Here is an 18,462-nt window from a genome sequence, read left to right as displayed (position 1 = left end):
AAATGATGGCCCATACATATAAAGTTGCAAAATATATTTATGCCACAAAACACAAAGAAATTGGGCACTTTTCAAGGTCACAGTGTCTTTTTTCCTCCCTCTACTCTTTTCCCTTAGAAATCTGTTATCGTGCATAAAAAAAAAGAAAGTAATATTCAAAAGGAAGGCGAGGTGTGGGGAGATTCAGCCTTGCCACTGAACTCCTGCAATGGAACCAACCACACAAAGAACAATTTTTCTTTTCTTTTCTTTTCTTTTTTTACTAGGAAGTACTTTAATCATTTTTCATAGAAAAAAAATGTCCAGACACTAACACTTCACAACATTTTAACAACAAAGAAAGAGGTTTTCAAGAGTTGGGATTCTGGAATATGAGGAAGAAGCGTTGGTGTCCTGCTTCATTATAGATGGATGGCACAGGTCAGAAACGGGAGACTAGCTGCGAAGCCAATATCAAAACCCAGTGGAATGACGCTTGGACCTATCGTGTTTATTTTTTATTTATTTATTTATTTATTTATTTTTGAGACGGAGTCTCGCTCTGTCGCCCAGGCTGGAGTGCAGGGGCGCGATCTCGGCTCACTGCAAGCTCTGCCTCCCGGGTTCACGCCATTCTCCTGCCTCAGCCTCCCGAGTAGCTGGGACTACAGGCGCCCGTCACCACGCCCGGCTAATTTTTTGTATTTTTAGTAGAGACGGGGTTTCACCGTGTTAGCCAAGATGGTCTCGATCTCCTGACCTCGTGATCCGCCCTCCTCGGCCTCCCAAAGTGCTGGGATTACAGGCGTGAGCCACCGCGCCCGGCCTGTCGTGTTTATTTTCCTTCCTGCTGCCCTCCGTGTCCCACAGAAACGCCAGCCACCATACAGAGCCCAGCACCTAGCTGAGCTGCCAGTCTTCCGCCTTGGGTAGGAGAACAATTAAAAAAAAAAGAAGAAGAAAGAAGGAAAGAAAGAAAGAAGGAAGGATGGAAGGAAAGAAGGAAAGAAAAAAAGAAAGAAGGAAAGAAAGAAGGAAAGAGGGAAAGAAGGAAAGAAAGGAAGAAAGGAAAGAAAAAGAAAGAAAGAAAGAGAGAGAGAGAGAAAGAAAGAGAAAGAAAAGAAAGAAAGAAAAGAAAGAAAGAAAGGGAAAGAAAGAAAGAAAGAAAGAAGGAAAGTAAAAGAAAATACGTGGGTGAGATGAGAAAGAAATGTTGAAACTAGACTGGGGTAGGATTCTGTCAGGTCCAATATGGAGCAGCAATAGAGATGAAGTTAACACAATCCGGCCAGGCGCGGGGACTCACACCTGTAATCCCAGCACTTTCGGAGGCTGCAGTGAGCTGAGATCGCACCACTGCACTCCAGCGTGGGGGACAGAACAAGACTCGTCTAAAAAATAAATAGTTAAATAAATTTAAAAGAACAACCCGTGACCCTTCACAAAATAAAAGGATGAGAGTGTGGCACCCCATCTACTGGGGCGACTCAAGAAACAGGAACATCAACAGGAAATTTCCAGAGAAGATTTTTGTTTTTTTAAACAATTAAATGTATGGAGTAAACAACTCAGAATGATTGTTCATTTTATTCAGAAGATTCCCCTACCATGCTCTGCCTGGGCAATTTAATGAATTACAAACAATACTTGTGATGGTACCACACATTTGAGCCCCGGGTCATGGAAAAAGTAAACTCAAGATCTATGCTCTGGAATGGATGCGTTTTTCATACTTCTGAGTTCCTTTCAAACTTCTCAATTCCCAGGGATCTCACATGGGGGCAAACAAACAAACAAAAAAACCCACACAGACATAAAGAACATTTGCAGTTCCATCCAGAAATCTCCAATGAGGGCTCACCTTCATAGAAGCTATTAAAAATGATTAGTGGCGGGGCACGGTGGCTTACGCCTGTAATCCCAGCACTTTGGGAGGCTGAGGCGGGTGGATCACAAGATCAGGAGATCAAGACCAGCCTGGCTAACACGGTGAAACCTCGTCTCTACTAAATATACAAAAAATTAGCTGGGTGTGGTGGCGGGCACCTGTAGTCCCAGCTACTCGGGAGGCTGAGGCAGGAGAATGGCGTGAACCCGGGAGGCAGAGCTTGCAGTGAGCCGAGATCACGCCACTGTGCTCCAGCCTGGGCAACAAAGCGAGACTCGGTCTCAAAAAAAAAAAAAAAAAAAAGATTAGCTTCCTGGGACATGATCAATCCCTGGAGCTTCTCCTGCAGAGGTGAGAGGGTTGGCACAGAAAAGAGGTAGTCTAGAGGTGAAACCCACGTGTTCAATGCATTTTTATGTTTCCAGGAGGGTGGGAACTCTAATAAAAGGTATGGTCTGTGTAGTTTCAGCTGCTGCCAAGATGACTTTCCGAGGTAATCAGACATAAAGCAATGGGGCCATGCAGGAAGAGGGAGAAGTAATAAGTAGCTCAAAAGACAGCATGCTTCTACTGCAGACTTTAGGGATAAGGAGACACGCAGCTCATTCCGATTAGGCCAGCGCTAACATCTGCACTGACTTGTGGAGCTCACCTGTACAGGAACTGCACTTGTGACAGCCAATGAGATCTGTCTTGCTTTCTATATTTTAATTTCCAAAAGAATTTTGATGAGTAAATGTACACAAAGTAAAATTACACTTTAGGTTTTGCCTAACACAGCAACTTGAAGAAGTTACTTTTCTTTCACAAGTGCCAAGGCAAAGTAGATAAATTAGGCCCCAGAAGGGGGTGACTCAAAGTTTCCAGAAAAAAAAAAGAAAAAAAAAAAAAGAAAAACCTCACTCTAAAGATAACACCTGAAAACTTAGCCTTTGCAAAGCATATTGATGGGCCATTATGAATGACACTGTGCTTTTTTTTGTTTGAATTTGATAACTGCTTCAAGCAATATTTACTCAAACAGGATTTTTTAAATATAGCTCATAAATAAATATTTGAGTTTAGATAATGTCCTCTTAGAAGAATGCTTATTAGGAAAAGAGTGTGAAAACAGGCATGAGGGGTTTTGAGCCCAATGGAGACATATTAAACCATAACCATTGCTTCTCCTGGTAGAAGCGTCCATTAAGATACACATTTAATTTGTTCGTGGGTGTTTTTTTCTTCTTGGTGAAATTTTTACATTTTCTGGTGAAATTCTGATGAATTTAGACAAAGCGCTCTAAACGTGGACTAGAACTAGAAGTACTCAAGTTTGCATCCTGAATATCTATTACATATTGTAGCAAGAAATCAAAATCCTACATAAAATATTTTCAAACTTCCCACAACATATATTTCAGGATCAGAAATGTGAAATGAATCAAATTCTTGAAAATGTCAAATCAATATTATAATATCAGAAACTGGCCAGCACAGACGCTCACGCCTGTAATTCTAGCATTTTAGGAGGTTGATGCAGGAGAACTACTTGAGGCCAGGAGTTCAAGAGTAGCCTGGGCAACGCAGTGAGACCTTATCTCCACAAAAAAAAAAAAGTCAAAATTTCAGCCAGGTGTGGTGGCATGGGCCTGTAGTCCCAGCTACCCAGGAGGCTGAGGGGGAGAGGATCGTCTGAGCCCACGAGTTTGAGGCTGCAGTGAGCCACGATCACGCCACTGCACTCCATCCAGCCTGGGCAACAGAGTGAGACTCCTTTAATAAAGAAAAAAAAAAAACACTTAAAAGATATATTATAATATCACAAACCAACATAGTAATGCCATCCCAAAACATAACCTACGTTGATCACGCGTGCTAGGCATTAACAGCCTAGCATGCTGACCTGGTGAGGAGCCCACTAGGATTGTATATTTTACAAAGTAGGTACAATGTCAAATTAAGGCTGATATAAACAACACTAAAAAATAATGACTTGAGCATAAACAAAGGCATTTCAAATTAAAAGAGATAAAACCGTCTTTACTGAAATCCAATCAAACTAACTTGTGAAGGTCAGCCAGAGATAGGTAGGCGATCATAAACCCAGCTCCCAAGACAACATTTCCACAAGAGCAGCCCTGGGGGCTGAAGTTCACTCACCGGTTACAAACTAACCCTCACTGGGCACATGTCCGTTCATGTGTCCTCCAGGATCAGATATCGTGTGAGTAAGTTTCAGAAATCCTGAAACAGAGCTGCCCTGAGCACACAACAGCCCTCGCCACACGTGGCCACGTGGCTGATCCAGGGCACGTCTAAGGCCCTGTTTGAATTAAGATGTGCTGTGAGTGTAAAATACACACAGGATTTCAAAGACTTCACACACAAAAAGGTAAAATATGATGTCACTAGTAACTTTCATATTGATGACATATAGTGGGTGTGTACTAGGAAATTCGGCCTTGACCAAACAGAGGCATGACCTGCACCCTTAGCTTCTGGGAAACGGCGTAAGTGGTGTAATACCTGACAGCTGAGTGTTTAGGGTGGGAAATGGGCCAGGCGCGGTGGCTCATGCCTGTAATCCCAGCCTTTTGGGAGGATGAGGTGGGCAGATCACTTGAGGTCAGGAGTTCGAGACCAGCCTGGCCAACATGGTGAAACCCAGTCTCTATTAAAAATACAAAAATTAGCCAGGCATAGTGGCAGTCACCTGTAATCCCAGCACTTTGGGAGGCCGAGGCAGGTGGATCGCCTGAGGTTGGGAGTTCAAGACCAGCCTGGCCAACATGGTGAAACCCCATCTCTATTCAAAATACAGAAATTAGTTGGGTGTGGTGGTGGGCATCTGTAATCCCAGCTACTTGGGAAGCTGAGGCAGGAGAATCGCTTGAATCCGGGAGCCGCAGGTTGCGGTGAGCCGAGATCGCACTACTGCACTCCAGCATGGGCAACAGAGAAAGACTCTGTCTCAAAAAAAAAAAAAAAAAAAAAAAAAAAAGACTGTTTTCATGCTTTAACCATCACCTGGACACCAGTGACTCACATGGCTGTGTCCCCAACTGTGCCCTCCTCTGAGGACAGTCCTACATTCTCAGCTCTATTCTGGATATTTACCCGAGTCCAATATTTGTCACTAAGTCAATACATCCAGAACCAAATGATTCAGTTCCTCTCTTTTTCCCCCTCCAAATTCTATTCCTTGATTTCTTCCAAACTGTATTGATAAAAATGTTAGGTTGTATGAACGCTCTTAAACCCCTCTTTATTTCTTCCTTACTGACTGTGGTCTGCCAATACAAAAGTTACCTGTACCACTGTGTTTATGTTTTTTAAAAAAAGTCTTTATCAAAGTACATTTGCAGGTAAAATGGCACATAATTATAGGTGAAATGGCATGATATTGGTAATTTTTGAAATTATTCTCGAAAACATTGTATGTGTGTGTGTGAGTGTAGGTGTGTGTGTGTATTCAGGAGGAAGTAGAGTAAATAAGAATTGAGGAACAATAAACTGGGTCATGGGCACATAAAGGGCTCACTCTACTATTCTTGCTACTTCTACACATGCCTGAAAATTTCTTTAATTAAAAGTTCTGGCCGGGCACAGTGGCTCATGCCTGTATCCCAGCACTTTGGGAGGCCAAGGCGGGCGGATCACATGGTCAGGAGTTCGAGACCAGCCTGGCCAACATGGTGAAACCCCGTCTCTACCAAAAATACAAAAATTAGCTGGGCATGATGGCGGGAGCCTGTAATCCCAGCTACTCAGGAGGCTGAGGCAGGAGAATAGCTTGAACTTGGGAGGCAGAGGTTGCAGTGAGCTGAGATTGCGCCACTGTACTTCACCTTGGGTGACAGAGCAAGATTCCATCTCAAAAAATAAAAATAAAAATATTTAAAAAAACCAAAAGGTTCTAAAGGAGGAGTCGTTCCTAATCAATCAATTTAAAGGATATTCACCGGGCCTGAGACAGTATATACTATTCTCCAGGGATGCACGAGTGACTACCTCATGTCCCTTTCTCAAGAAGCTCACCACTTGAGAAGCACGGGGAAGAAAGTAAAACATGTTATACTCATTAGAGACAAGCATGAAGTGTGGCAGATGGTTACAGAGGCCATCAATTCTCCCCCTCCCTGCATCCGTGCCCTTGTAAGGCAGCATTAAAGATCCTCTCATTATGAGGTGGGGACCGTATCTCCACCCGCTGAGTTGCTTTGGTCAATGGGAAGGAGGCAAGCTTATCACAGGCAGAGGCCTGGAATGTGCTTGTGAGTTGAGGCCCGTTCTCTCTTCCTGCCGAGCCTAAAACAGGATGACAGACCCCATGGAGACAGGCCTCAGGGGTCCCCACCATCCCAGCTAAGGTCCAGGCATGGAAGTGAGGCCACCCTGCGTGTTTAAGGCAACTGGTTTGTTAAGCAGCAAAAGGTAACTGACAGAGGAAGGGAACTCATCTATGCCAATTCTGGAGGGTCAAGGAAGGATTTATGGTGGAGGATGATATTGAAGGCTGACAAGTTAGAGAAAAGGGCAATGAATTCATGGAAAAGGAGCATGCTTCCACAGGTAAAATATTTCTTTCTTTTTTTTTTTTTTTGAGACGGAGTCTTGCAGTGGCACCATCTCTGTTCACTTCAACCTCGGCCTCCTGGGTTCAAGCAATTCTCTTGCCTCAGCCTCCTGAGTAGCTGGGACTACAGGTGCACACCACCATGCCCGGCTAATTTTTTGCATTTTCAGTAGAGACAGGGTTTCGTCATGTTGGCCAGGCTGGTCTTGAACTCTTGACCTCAGGTGATCTGCCCGCCTCAGCCTCCCAAAGTGCTGGGATTACAGGTTGAGCCACTGCGCCTGGCAATTATTTCTTTAATGTCTGTCTTAACCAACACAGTTGGGTTCCCACGTTTGCTGTTTCATTTAATTTGTTGCAATATGTTGTTTTGGTTGAGGTCTATAAAGAAAATCCTGCCTCTTGCAGACAGGTAGTAGGAAAAGAAAGAGTATTTTAATGGCCTTTCCGATCACTGTAGGCATTGTTCTTGGACACTGCACCCAAACTCAGCAAGTGGCAATTTCTTAAAGTTTAGCTGCATCAGGGAACTTTTCTTTTTTTCTTTCTTTTTTTTTTTTTTGAGACAGAATTTTTGCTCTTCTTGCCCTGGCTGGAGTGCAATGGTACAATCTCGGCTCACTGCAACCTCCACCTTCTGGGTTCAAGCGATTCTCCTGCCTCAGCCTCCCGAAAGTAGCTGGGATTACAGGCACGCACCACCATGCCTGGCTAATTTTGTATTTTTAGTAGAGTCGGGGTTTCTCCATGTTGGTCAGGCTGGTCTCGAACTCCTGACCTCAGGTGATCCGCCCACCTCGGCCTCCCAAAGTGCTGGGATTACAGGCATGAGCCACTGCACCTGGCCGAACTTTTCATACTCAGTTATATTAAAGTCCATTGGTCTACCTGGTACTATGAACTGATCTTTCATCTGTACTTGATTCTATAGGTCACATATTGATCATTGAAAACCTACTGGTTCACTGAGTCATGAAGATCTTTCAAATGTTTAAACGTTTCATTATACAACATCCAAAAAACTCAGATTTGTTAGTAGAGCCACCAATTTCATCAGGAAAGCCTTCAGATATTGGGAAACTGACAACCTCATGCTGGCTTTCCAAAATTCTAATTTTACTTGAAAATTCAAATTTGGCCACACATAGTGGCTCATGCCTGTCATCCCAGCACTTTGGGAGGCCGAGGTGGGAGGATGGCTTGAGCCTAGGTGTTCGAGGCTCCAGTGAGCCATGATTGCACCACTGCAATCTAGCCTGGGTAACAGAATGAGAGCCCGTCTCAAAAAAAATAATAATAATAAAAAAAAAGAGGGACCAGGCATGGTGGCTCACGCCTGTAATCCCATCACTTTGGGAGGCCAAGGTGGGTGGATCACAAGGTCGGGAGTTCGAGACCAGCCTGGCCAACATGGTGAAACCCCGTTTCTACTAAAAATGCAAAAATTAGCAGGGCGTTGTGGTGGGCGCCTGTAGTCCCAGCTACTTGGGAGGCTGAGGTAGGAGAATAGCTTGAAACCGGGAGGCAGAGGTTGCAGTGAGCCGAGATCGCGCCACTGCACTCCAGCCTGGGCGACAGAGCGAGACTCCATCTCAGAAAAAAAAAAAAATGAGAGAGAGAGAGAGAAAAGGTCAGGCGCGGTGGCTCACGCCTGTAATCCTAGCACTTTGGGAGGCTGAGGAGGGCAGATCACTTGAGGTCAGGAGTTCAAGACTGGCCTGGCCAACAAGGCAAAACCCCATCTCTACTAAAAAAAAAATAACAACATGTATTCAAAAGTTAATATTTGAAAAGCTAGTAATTTGTATTTCTTCATCAGGGACATTTTTAAGTGAAACTGGCTTAAGTGGGTGGTGGTGACTAATCAGCGAATATTAGCACAGATGGGGCCACTGCCTTCGTTAGTATTAAGGCAGCTGCATTTTACTCATCACTGCATTTTAAACCATGAGAAAAGCCAAAAGAAAAGGCTTTGCATTATTATTTAGAAAAAGCTTGACTTGGCGGAGGCCCTGAAAGAGTCCCAGGGAATCTCAGAGGTCCAGGGACCCCATTTTGGTAACCACTGGTTTGAAAACTACCTTAAGAAGGCAGATAGATAGTCCAACAGGTAGGCCAGGTGCAGTGGCTCACACCTGTAGCCCCAACACTTTGGGAGGCTGAGGTGGGTGGATCACTTGAGGTCAGGCATTTGAGACCAGCCTGGCCAACATGGTGAAACCACGTCCCTACTAAAAATACAAAAATTAGCCGGGTGTGGTGGCACATGCCTGTCGTCCCAGCTACTCAGGAGGCTGAGGCAACAGAATCGCTTGAACCTGGGGGGCAGAGGTTGCAGTGAGCTGAGATAGCACCATTACACTCTAGCCTGGGTGACAGAGTGAGACTCTGTCTCAAAAAAAAAAAAAAAAAGTTTGGTATTACAATAAAACTGGAAACCAGGATGCCTGTTGGGTTTTCTAATACTGAGATTGACAAGTCATTAAACTGCACTAGGAAATACAACCTCCATGCTCTGCCTGGGAAAAGTCTGATATAAAGAGTAAGACTATGGGCCGTCAGGGCGTGTGCAACTTCACATTCACATATGTCTAGCATCCCGAGCTTTCGGAAGAGACCACAGATGACTGGGTTCTGCCCTTGTCCCAGTGCAGCAGTTTTCAAGTACCACCATTTTGCAAATTGCAATTCCATAAAGAATGGGCAGAGCCTACAAATGATCAGGGCATAAGCCCTGTTCCTTGATCCTCCCAACCAACAGGAATAACGCCTGCAAATGATCAGGGCATGCACATTGTGCACAGCGGATGAACGCTGGTGGAGCAGGCTCAATGCAGTTCCCACCGCCAGAGACAGCAGCCTCACTCACCAAAGGGAAACTGACCTTTGGTTTTTTTCTTTAGTTTTGCAGGCACCAGCTCTATGGTGCGTTCACATAGCTCCTTACTGGGAATTCAGTTAAGTTCCCACCAGCTCATACACCAGCCCTCTAAGTCATCATGAATACAAAGTCAATAAATGAACTAACTTGTGGATCTACAAACTCTTGACTGTTTAAAGCTCTTCTAATAAACGGTCCAACCCAGGAAACTACCTCTGTCACCTAAGAGATTGTTACTCTCATGTATACAAGGTTGCTGCAACATTTATAGCGCAGCTGATAAATCACCCGATCTGAGAACATAGAAAGAAAACAGGGCCAGGTTCGGTGGCTCATGCCTGTAATCCCGGCACTTTGGGATGCTGAGGCGGGCAGATCATTTGAGGCCAGTAGTTCGAGACCAGCCTGACCAACGTGGTGAAATCCCATCTCTACTAAAAATACAAAAAAATTAGCTGGGTATGGTGGTGTGCACCTGAAATCCCAGCTACTCAGGAGGCTCAGGCAGGAGAATTGCTTGAACCCGGGAGGTGGAAGTTGCAGTGAGCTGAGATCACGCCATTGCACTCCAGCCTAGGTGACAGAGCAAGACTCCGTCTCAAAAAAAAAAAAAAAAAAAAACAGCAACAAAACAACAACAACAACATACAACCATTACTGGGCTACTTTTGTCATTCAATAACAACATCAAAAAATATCAGGGACGTTTTAGGTGCATCTACACATACAAAATCAATCTATGGGAAACATAATACACTATTGTGGCCGCAACAGGCACCGTCCATGGGAACACTGTCAGCTCAGTAAGGCTGCCTTTCGGTTCTCGAATTCTGCAATTTCATCAGCACAACCAAAATAACAACACCAGATAAACACATACCCACTGCGCTTGTGCCATTTCCTTCATTGACTCTGTGAAAGCGACAGCAAATCTAGTAAATGAACAAAAATAATAGAAACAATTAGGCCAGAATTCAATTAAAAGAACTATGAAACAGCTCTTTGGAACAAATTATGAGAGACAACGTGAGACACTAAATTTAAAATGCAATCAATCTTTATTACTTGTGGTCATTGGCCATTAGGTTTAATCTCAACTCACATCAAAAAAAAGTTTTATATGCAAGAAGTAAACCAAACGAAGCTCAAAACTCCTATTTTTTCTCTTCCTTCCACGCAAGTTCAGAGAGGCAGGGATAAAATCAAAAGCAAGAAATGAAGATGCAGGAGAGAAGCAAGGAACTTGCTGGGTTAATCCACCCTGACCATTCAAGGGCAGCCTGTCCACTCCACTAGCTCTGCCAAGGGAAGACTATGGGGACACAATCACAATTTACTGAATGCACATGGGTGCTCACTGTTATCATCTCCCTCCTTTCAATTGCTTCTTTAGGAAATGCACAAGGGATCTCAAAACTAAGAAAACAAGGTAATCTATTTATTAACATTATGTTTGCCATGAAGTGCAGGAATATTAAGAGATACTTTTTCATGGAAATGTGGAGCACATTCTTAGATGGGAAGCTCCAATACTATCAAAACGTCCATTTTTACCAAATTACGTGACAAAATCAATAATTCAAATAAAATCCAGAAGTGGATTTCTATTGAAATTTGACAAAATAATTTTAAAGTTTACCTATACATATAATTGGGTGACAAACAATCAGAAAATTTTGATAAAGAATTCAGGCCAGGCACAGTGGCTCACACTTGTAATCCCAATACTTTGGGAGGCTGAGGCAGGAAGATCACTTGAGCCCAGGCATTCAAGACCAGCCTGGGCAACATAGGGAGACCCCCATCTCTACAGGAAACATTTTTGTAATCAGCTGGGCATAGTTGAGCACACTTGTAGTCCCAGCTACTCAGGAGGCTGAGGCAGGAGGATCGCTTGAGCCTGGGATGTCAAGGCTGCAGTGAGCCATGATTGTGCCACTGCACTCCAGCTTGGGTGACAGAGGAAGAAGAAAGAAGAAAGGAAGAAGGAAAAGGAAGAAGAAGGAGGAGGAGGAGGAGGAAGAAGAGGAAGAGGAAGAAGAAGAAGAATTCAAAGATGAGATGTGTATTAACAGATATCAAAACATATTAAAAATATAACAATTAAAACAGTGTTGGCAGTGAAAAAAAGATAGAAAGATCAAAACCAAATACAAGGCCAGAAACAGACCCAAATACATTTAAGAATTTGACATAGCATAGGCCAGGCCTGGTGGCTCACACCTGTAATCCCAGCACTTTGGGAGTCCAAGGCGGGCGGATCACAAGGTCAGGAGATCGAGACCACCTGGCTAACACCGTGAAACCCCGTCTCTACTAAAAATACAAAAAATTAGCCGGGCATGGTGGCGGGCGCCTGTAGTCCCAGCTACTCGGGAGGCTGAGGCAGGAGGATGGTGTGAACCCGGGAGGCGGAGCTTGCAGTGAGCCGAGATCGTGCCACTGCACTCCAGCCTGGGCAACAGAGCGAGACTCTGTCTCAAAAAAAGAAAAAAAAAGAATTTGACATAGCATAAGGTTAGAGAAGTGGTTAAATACATGGAAAAAGTTAGTTTCCTACCTTATATCATATATCTCAAAAGATGGTTCAGGAGCTAAGTAAAAAAAGGTAAGACTACAAGAGAAGTCTGGAATGATATAAGAGAACAAGCAGCTGGCCTCAGCCTGGGAAAGGTTTTCTGAGCATAAAAAGCTATGACATTATTGGATACCACAGGCAGGGTATGAAAAGGAGAAAGAAAAAAAGCTATGAAATTAATTCTAAAGATAAAAAAGCTTTGATTATATTAAAATTTAAAAACTACTGAAATACCACAAATTAAAACAAAAATAACAATTTGGAAGAAACATGTGCAATTGACATGGAGAAAAGAGGAATAATATCCTTACTCAGGAGCTCTTCAAAATTAACAAGGAAGCCAAACATCCCAAGGGGCAAAAAGGGATGGGAAAAATGGGATGTTCACGTGAGAGCAAATATAAGGGACCATAAAATGTGAGGAAAAGTGAAATTTCTCTAATAACAAAATAAATCTAATTGGAACAATAGGAAAGAATTGCATCACATATAAGATTGGCAGTTTTAAAAATAAAAATGCCCAATGTTGACAAAGGTGAGAAAAATGAAAACATACACCCACTTGGTGAATTAAAATGCAAATATTCTTTCTGAAGAGAAATTTGAGAAACTGCATCAATATATTCACATGTTCGTAGCGTTAGACCTTGCAATTCTACCTCTATGAATTCAACCCAAAGACACAATCAGACAAGTACACAAAGACAGAAACAGATTTTTCCCTGTGGTGTTGTTTATGATAAAGATATAAATGCCCAATCTCAAAGAATCATTTACAGAATTTATGATAGAATTCTATGCAGCCATTAAAACCATGTTTGGCACCTTAAAATTATCAAAACTGTAGCTGGGCATGGTGGTGCATGCCTGTAATCCCAGCTACTCGGTACGCTGAGGCAGGGGGACCGCTTGAACCTGGGAGGCGGAGGTTGCAGTGAGCCAAGATCATGCCACTGCACTCCAGCCTGGCAACAGAGCAAGACTCTGTCTCAAAAAAAAAAAAAAAAAAAAAAAGTATGTGTCATTCAGCCCAAATTTTCAAAAATAATAACAATGAAAATATAGTCACAGACATACAAATGTAAGTAATTAAAAGATCACCTACCAAAAAGCTAGTCATGGTTAAAGCACGCATGAAGTACAAAAAAAAAATTGGTAATTTGCTTTTCCCTGGCTTCTTCAGTACTTTTCAAAATTTCTACATTGCATTGGGACAGCCATTTTTTTTAGTTAGAAAGAAAATTCTTAACAAAATATTTTATAAAGTCAGGACTTACAATCTTTCAAGACTTCCTGTAGATAATATATATCCTCCTATCTTTCTCCCACATCATTATTTTCTCCTCTACTCATTATAAAAACTACTCCCTTAATCCCACAGTCCCTGCTTCAATTATTGTCCTTTTTCTCTTTTCTCCTTGACAAAAAAAGCCCTGGTGTTACCTTGACTCAACACCTCCAATGCCTCTCTTCTCATTTAAACCACTCCAGGCAGCTCCCCTGACTGCACCATTGAAACTGTGCTCAAGGTCACTAAGGACCTCCATGTTGGTAAGCTGAATGGTCCGGTCCTCAGTCTTCATCTTACTTAACCTATCAATAGCAACAGGCACATACGCTCTCTCCTTCCTCCTTGAAATGCTTCTTCATTGGTTTCCACCATACCATTCCGTTTCATCGAACTGGCCACTCAATCTCAGTCTCACTAATTTCTCTCTCTGATTTCTCAAAAATGGGCTGCTCCAAGACTCAGTTCTTGGGCTTCTCTTCTCTATCTGCACTTACTCCTTTGGTGATCTCACCAGTTTCCAGGTTTCAATAGCATCTGTAAGGCCGGAAGCGGTGGTTCACGCCTGTAATCTCAGCACTTTGGGAGGCCGAGGGGGGAGGATCACCTGAGGTTAGGAGTTTGAGAGACCAGCCTGACCAACATTGAGAAACCCCGTTCTCTACTAAAATTACAAAATTAGCCCGGCGTGGTGGTGCATGCCTGTAATCCCAGCTACTCAGAAGGCTGAGGCAGGAGAATAGCTTGAACCCAGGAGGCGGAGGTTGCGATGAGTCAAGATTGTGCCATTGCACTCCAGCCTGGGTGACAGAGCGAGACTCTGCCTCAAAAAAAAAAAAAAAATAGCTTCTGTATATTGACCAACAAACTCCCGACCCCTCCCCTAACTTGCCCAGACTTCTACCTACTTCATACCTCCATTCGGATGCCTAATACAAACCCTAAGCTTCATACCAATGTCAAATAATGAGAACCATACTTCTAGTGATGAAATAAAAATACATATAGTTGTATATGTGCATATATACATACATACATTTCCAAGCTCTAAGAGGGCTTACAAGCAAGGACACTGAGTAAGCAATAAGCACAGATCTTAGTTTCTAAATAATATTCTCTAAAAGGACAAAAAAAAATTATAAAGGAACCAGGACTCCTTTGAGAAATAGCCATTTCCAGAAGTAGGACAAGGTAGACAGGAGATGAATCAGGGACATTTTACGATGCCAGAAAGTAGAAAAGTGCTCAGAAAACGATGAATGATGAGAGCATGTCAAAAGAACACAGGCATCAGCTCAAAGCATCTCCTGTGGGCAAATCTGGGGCAATTTGAGCAACCGAATAAACAAAAATAGTAACAGATAATCTGTAAAGGGAAATAAAATAAATATCTATGAGTCCATGTTATATATATATATATAATTTTTAATATATTTATTTATTATTTATTTTGAGATGGAGTCTTGCTCTGTTACCCAGGTTGGAGTGCAGTGGCACAGTCTCAGCTCACTGTAACCTCCGCCTCCTGGGTTCAAGCAACTCTCCTGCCTCAGCCTCCTGAGTAGCTAGGATTACAGGCACGCACCACCATGCTCGGCTAATTTTTTTTTCTGTATTTTTAGTAGAGATGAGGGTTCACCATGTTGGCCAGGCTGGTCTCGAACTCCTGGCCTCAAGTGATCCACCCAACTCAGCCTCCCAAAGTGCTGGGATTACAGCCATGAGCCACCATGCCCGGCCCCCACGAGTCCATACTGAATAACAAATAAATAATCAAATAAGTAAATGGGATCAAAGAGGAAAGTCTTCCGTAAGGTAGAATTCCAGTTAATAAACAAGACGCAGTGCAAATGGAAAAATCACCATCAGGCAAACACCACAGGAATAATTACTGCAGATGAGAACCAGGAAAGGATGATTCCTTCCCTGCAGCAGGACCCAAAAATGGCAGATTCTTCCTCCAGAAGGCCCCACTTCCCCTGTCTGTGCCTGCCCCGAGCTTTCCTTTCTGCCTCCTCTAAAACCCTGTCACCAGTCGAGGCACATTCCATCACAGGTCCCCTACTGAAGGGAAAAGTAAGGAAAGACGGACGGAGAGGATCTCACGCTGGACTTCCCACCAAGGCCCACTTTCATAATCCAAGCACCATACAGTGCTGACGCGGAAGGAGGCTCGAGCCCAGCATGGGTTGTTCTGCTGGCCTCAGTTATGAGAAGCTCTCCATTTGCTCTGAAAACTAACAAGAGGTGCAAGGAAACTGTATCTGGGGGAATAGACTTTATCCTGTGAAAATAAGATAAAAAAGAAAGAAAAGTAGCTAAATAACAATTGCCTGACAATGGGCCCTTCAGGAGAGTGTGTAAACCTTCCTTTGCTGGGAAACTTCAAAACTGAGAAACTTAAGAATTGAACAATTAGTGGGGCGTGATGGCTCACACCTGTAATCCCAACACTTTGGGAGGCCGAGGAAGGTGGATCACTGTGGTCAGGAGTTCGAGACCAGCCTGGCCAACACAGAGAAACTCCATCTTCACTAAAAATACAAAAATTAGCCAGGCGTGGTGGTGCACCCCTGTAGTCCCAGCTACTGACGAGGCTGAGGCAGGTGAATCGCCTGAACCCAGGAGGTGGAAGTTGCAGTGAGCTCAGACTGCACCACTGCACTCCAGCCTGGGCGACAGAGTAAGACTCTGTGTCCAAAAAAAAACAATAAAATTCAATTAAATTAAAAAACCACATTTCTTATGAAAAATATAAAGCTACCATTTTTGCATTTTTAGTTGAACATTGCCATTTTGAAATAGATTTACTCACTTTCACATGTGATTTTTTTTGTAAAAAAAATCTTTGGGCTTAAATATCTATAGCTTAAAACTTATGAAACTACCAATATTCAGCCATTTTATGCCTACAAAACAGCAAATTCACCTCGTTTAACCTATCGTGTGCTATAGATTTCCTATTTATGAGGCTATTTTTGAGGTGTTTCATTTTATACAAACTCTCTTTTGCTCATTTGCTTGACGATAATTTTTTCTTTTCTTTCTTTTGTTTTTGAGACAGAGTCTCCCTCTTTCACCCAGGCTGCAGTGCAATGGCGAGATCTCAGCTCACTTCAACCTCTGCCTCTCAGGTTCAAGCGATTCTCTTGCCTCAGCCTCCTGAGTAGCTGGGATTACAGGCATGTGTCACCATGCCCAGCTAATTTTTGTATTTTTAGTGAAGACGGAGTTTCCCCATGTTGGCCAGGCTGGTCTCAAACTCCTGACCTCAGTGATCCACCCGCTTCGGCCTCTCAAAGTGCTGGGATTACAGGCATTAGCCATCATGCCTGGCCAAGAATATTTTCTTCTAATATGTACCTGGATGATCCTTCACCAAATAATTTCCATAGGTTTCACATACTCTTCATTTAGTTTTGATATTGATAATGTAATTATCAAGTACTTATTACATTATAATATTTATAAGCCAAAAAGCTGAAGCTAAGGTAAGTTTGAATACTATATAATATAGAAAAAAAATTTAAATACTAAAAAAACTTCAAAAATAGACCCTATAGGAAAAATATAACTATTTAAAAACATTTGATTAAAAATGAAATACTCATTATAAAGCTAGACAAGTTCAATACTTTCTTTTACAGAAACGTGTGCTATGTTGTACTGGACAAAGAATCTGATCCATGCAGCTTTCCTGCCCACTAACCTCGATCAATAACCCCCCAAAATAGAAATCCGTGTTTGCTTTAATAACAATGAAATAAATAATACTAATAATAATACTGTAAGATGGATTCATTCAATGTTGTTTCTAGTAAACAGAATTGTTTTTCTTCCGTAAGGCAGTGCATTACCAACTACAGGAATCTAAAGGTAATGAATTTGCAGAGTGAAAGAACAACAGCAATAAGAAAACCTGTAATAAAAGATCCCCTTTCAAGGTAACCCCAACGTGTTTTAATGTCTTTTTTTATTGTAACACACACACGCACACACATGCACACTCACACGTGTGCTCTCTATTATGATAAGGTGGTGTGAAAGGAAAATATCTTGGGCCCCCAAATCACAAAGCTAAAGGGAAAAGTCAAGCTGGGAACTGCTAAGGGCAAACCTCCCTCCCATTCTATTCAAAGTCACCCCTCTGCTCACTGAGATAAATGTATATCTGATTGCTTCCTTGGGAAAGGCCAATCAGAAATGCAAAAGAATGCGACCTTTTGTCTGTCACCTACCAGTGACCTGGAAAACCCCTCCCTGCTTTGAGTCTTCCTGCCTCGCTTCCAGTTGTCCCGCCTTTCCAGACCGAACCAGTGTACCTCCTACATATATTGATTGATGTCTCACATCTCCCTAAGATGTAGAAAACCAACCTGTGCCTGACCACCTTGGGCACGTGTCATCAGGACCTCTTGAGGCTGGGTCATGAGTGCGTGTCTTCAACGTTGGCAAAATAAACTTTCTAAATAGTAACTGAGACCTGTCTCAGGTTTTTTGGGTCCACATTTGCATTGCCACAACATACGATCGGGGTCCTCAGGAAGGACTAGGGTCCTAAATGCAGTGATACCTCTCAGTAACCCTGGTTTTCAGAAGCGAGACTGACACCTACATTACCAAACAAGGAATCTGAGGCTCCCGACAGAACTTTGAATGCTGTCCCCTGTATGGAATAGGGTGATCCAGCTACATAAAGACTTGAAGTGTCCCAAATTCCCTGGCCAGAGCTTCCCAGCCATGAGGTGAGCCACAGAAAATTAATGGCTGGTGATTTATTGGGATAAAATCAATTACCAGTTTTGCTTTGTTTTGTTCTCTACAATGATTCAAAGATTTAAAAGGGTCGAAGGGATAGTTAGGCAGTACTTGTTGGACCAACTGTAAACTGTGGTTTCAGGGTTATTCTAGACACAGGTGAAGCTTTCTTCTAACACCAGCAGCCAGTGAACATGTGGGAGGACAAACTGCACAGAACCCCCTTGACTGTCCAGCCAAACCCCGAGGAAGCCCACTGAGCACCTCATGACTGATCAGAAAAGTTCTTTGTTTTGGGTATGCATGTATAGGTAGTTCTTTTGATTTAATTTCCGCTTTTTTTCACAATTTTCATATGATCATGGAAGATTCATATTGCTTTTATCATTATTTTATTTAATTTTTTATTTTTTTAATTAATTAAATTTTTTTTTTTTTGAGACAGTGTCGCTCTGTCACCCAGGCTAGAGTGCAATGGCAACATCTTGCTTACTGCAACCAACACCTCCCGGGTTCTTTTGTTGTTGTTGCT

The 18,462-nt window shown here is 42.7% G+C and overlaps 1 protein-coding gene across 12 annotated transcripts in view; it reads right to left on the bottom strand.

Annotated features, from left to right (window-relative positions):
- GLT1D1 (glycosyltransferase 1 domain containing 1) overlaps window positions 1-18,462 on the bottom strand; it is a 131,491-nt gene that overhangs the window by 75,495 nt on the left and 37,534 nt on the right. For 5 of the 12 annotated variants that reach the window (NR_159493.1, NM_001366886.1, XM_047428372.1 and 2 more), the window contains one exon: window positions 10,187-10,238. The exons of 3 other annotated variants lie outside the window; for them this stretch is intronic. Coding sequence is in view for 7 of the 9 variants with exons in the window: in NM_001366886.1 (NP_001353815.1) it covers window positions 10,187-10,238 (52 nt within the window). In the remaining 2 variants the exon portion in view is untranslated. Of the gene's footprint in view, window positions 1-2,519; window positions 2,568-10,186; window positions 10,239-18,462 lie in introns of all 12 variants that reach the window. 4 more of the 12 variants (XR_001748588.2, NM_001366889.1, XM_011537957.3 and 1 more) reach the window with 1 other exon arrangement.

Source organism: Homo sapiens, chromosome 12 (assembly GCF_000001405.40).
Source record: "Homo sapiens chromosome 12, GRCh38.p14 Primary Assembly".
In the NCBI taxonomy this organism is placed as follows: domain Eukaryota; kingdom Metazoa; phylum Chordata; class Mammalia; order Primates; family Hominidae; genus Homo; species Homo sapiens.
This window is presented reverse-complemented; position numbering and strand designations above follow the sequence as displayed.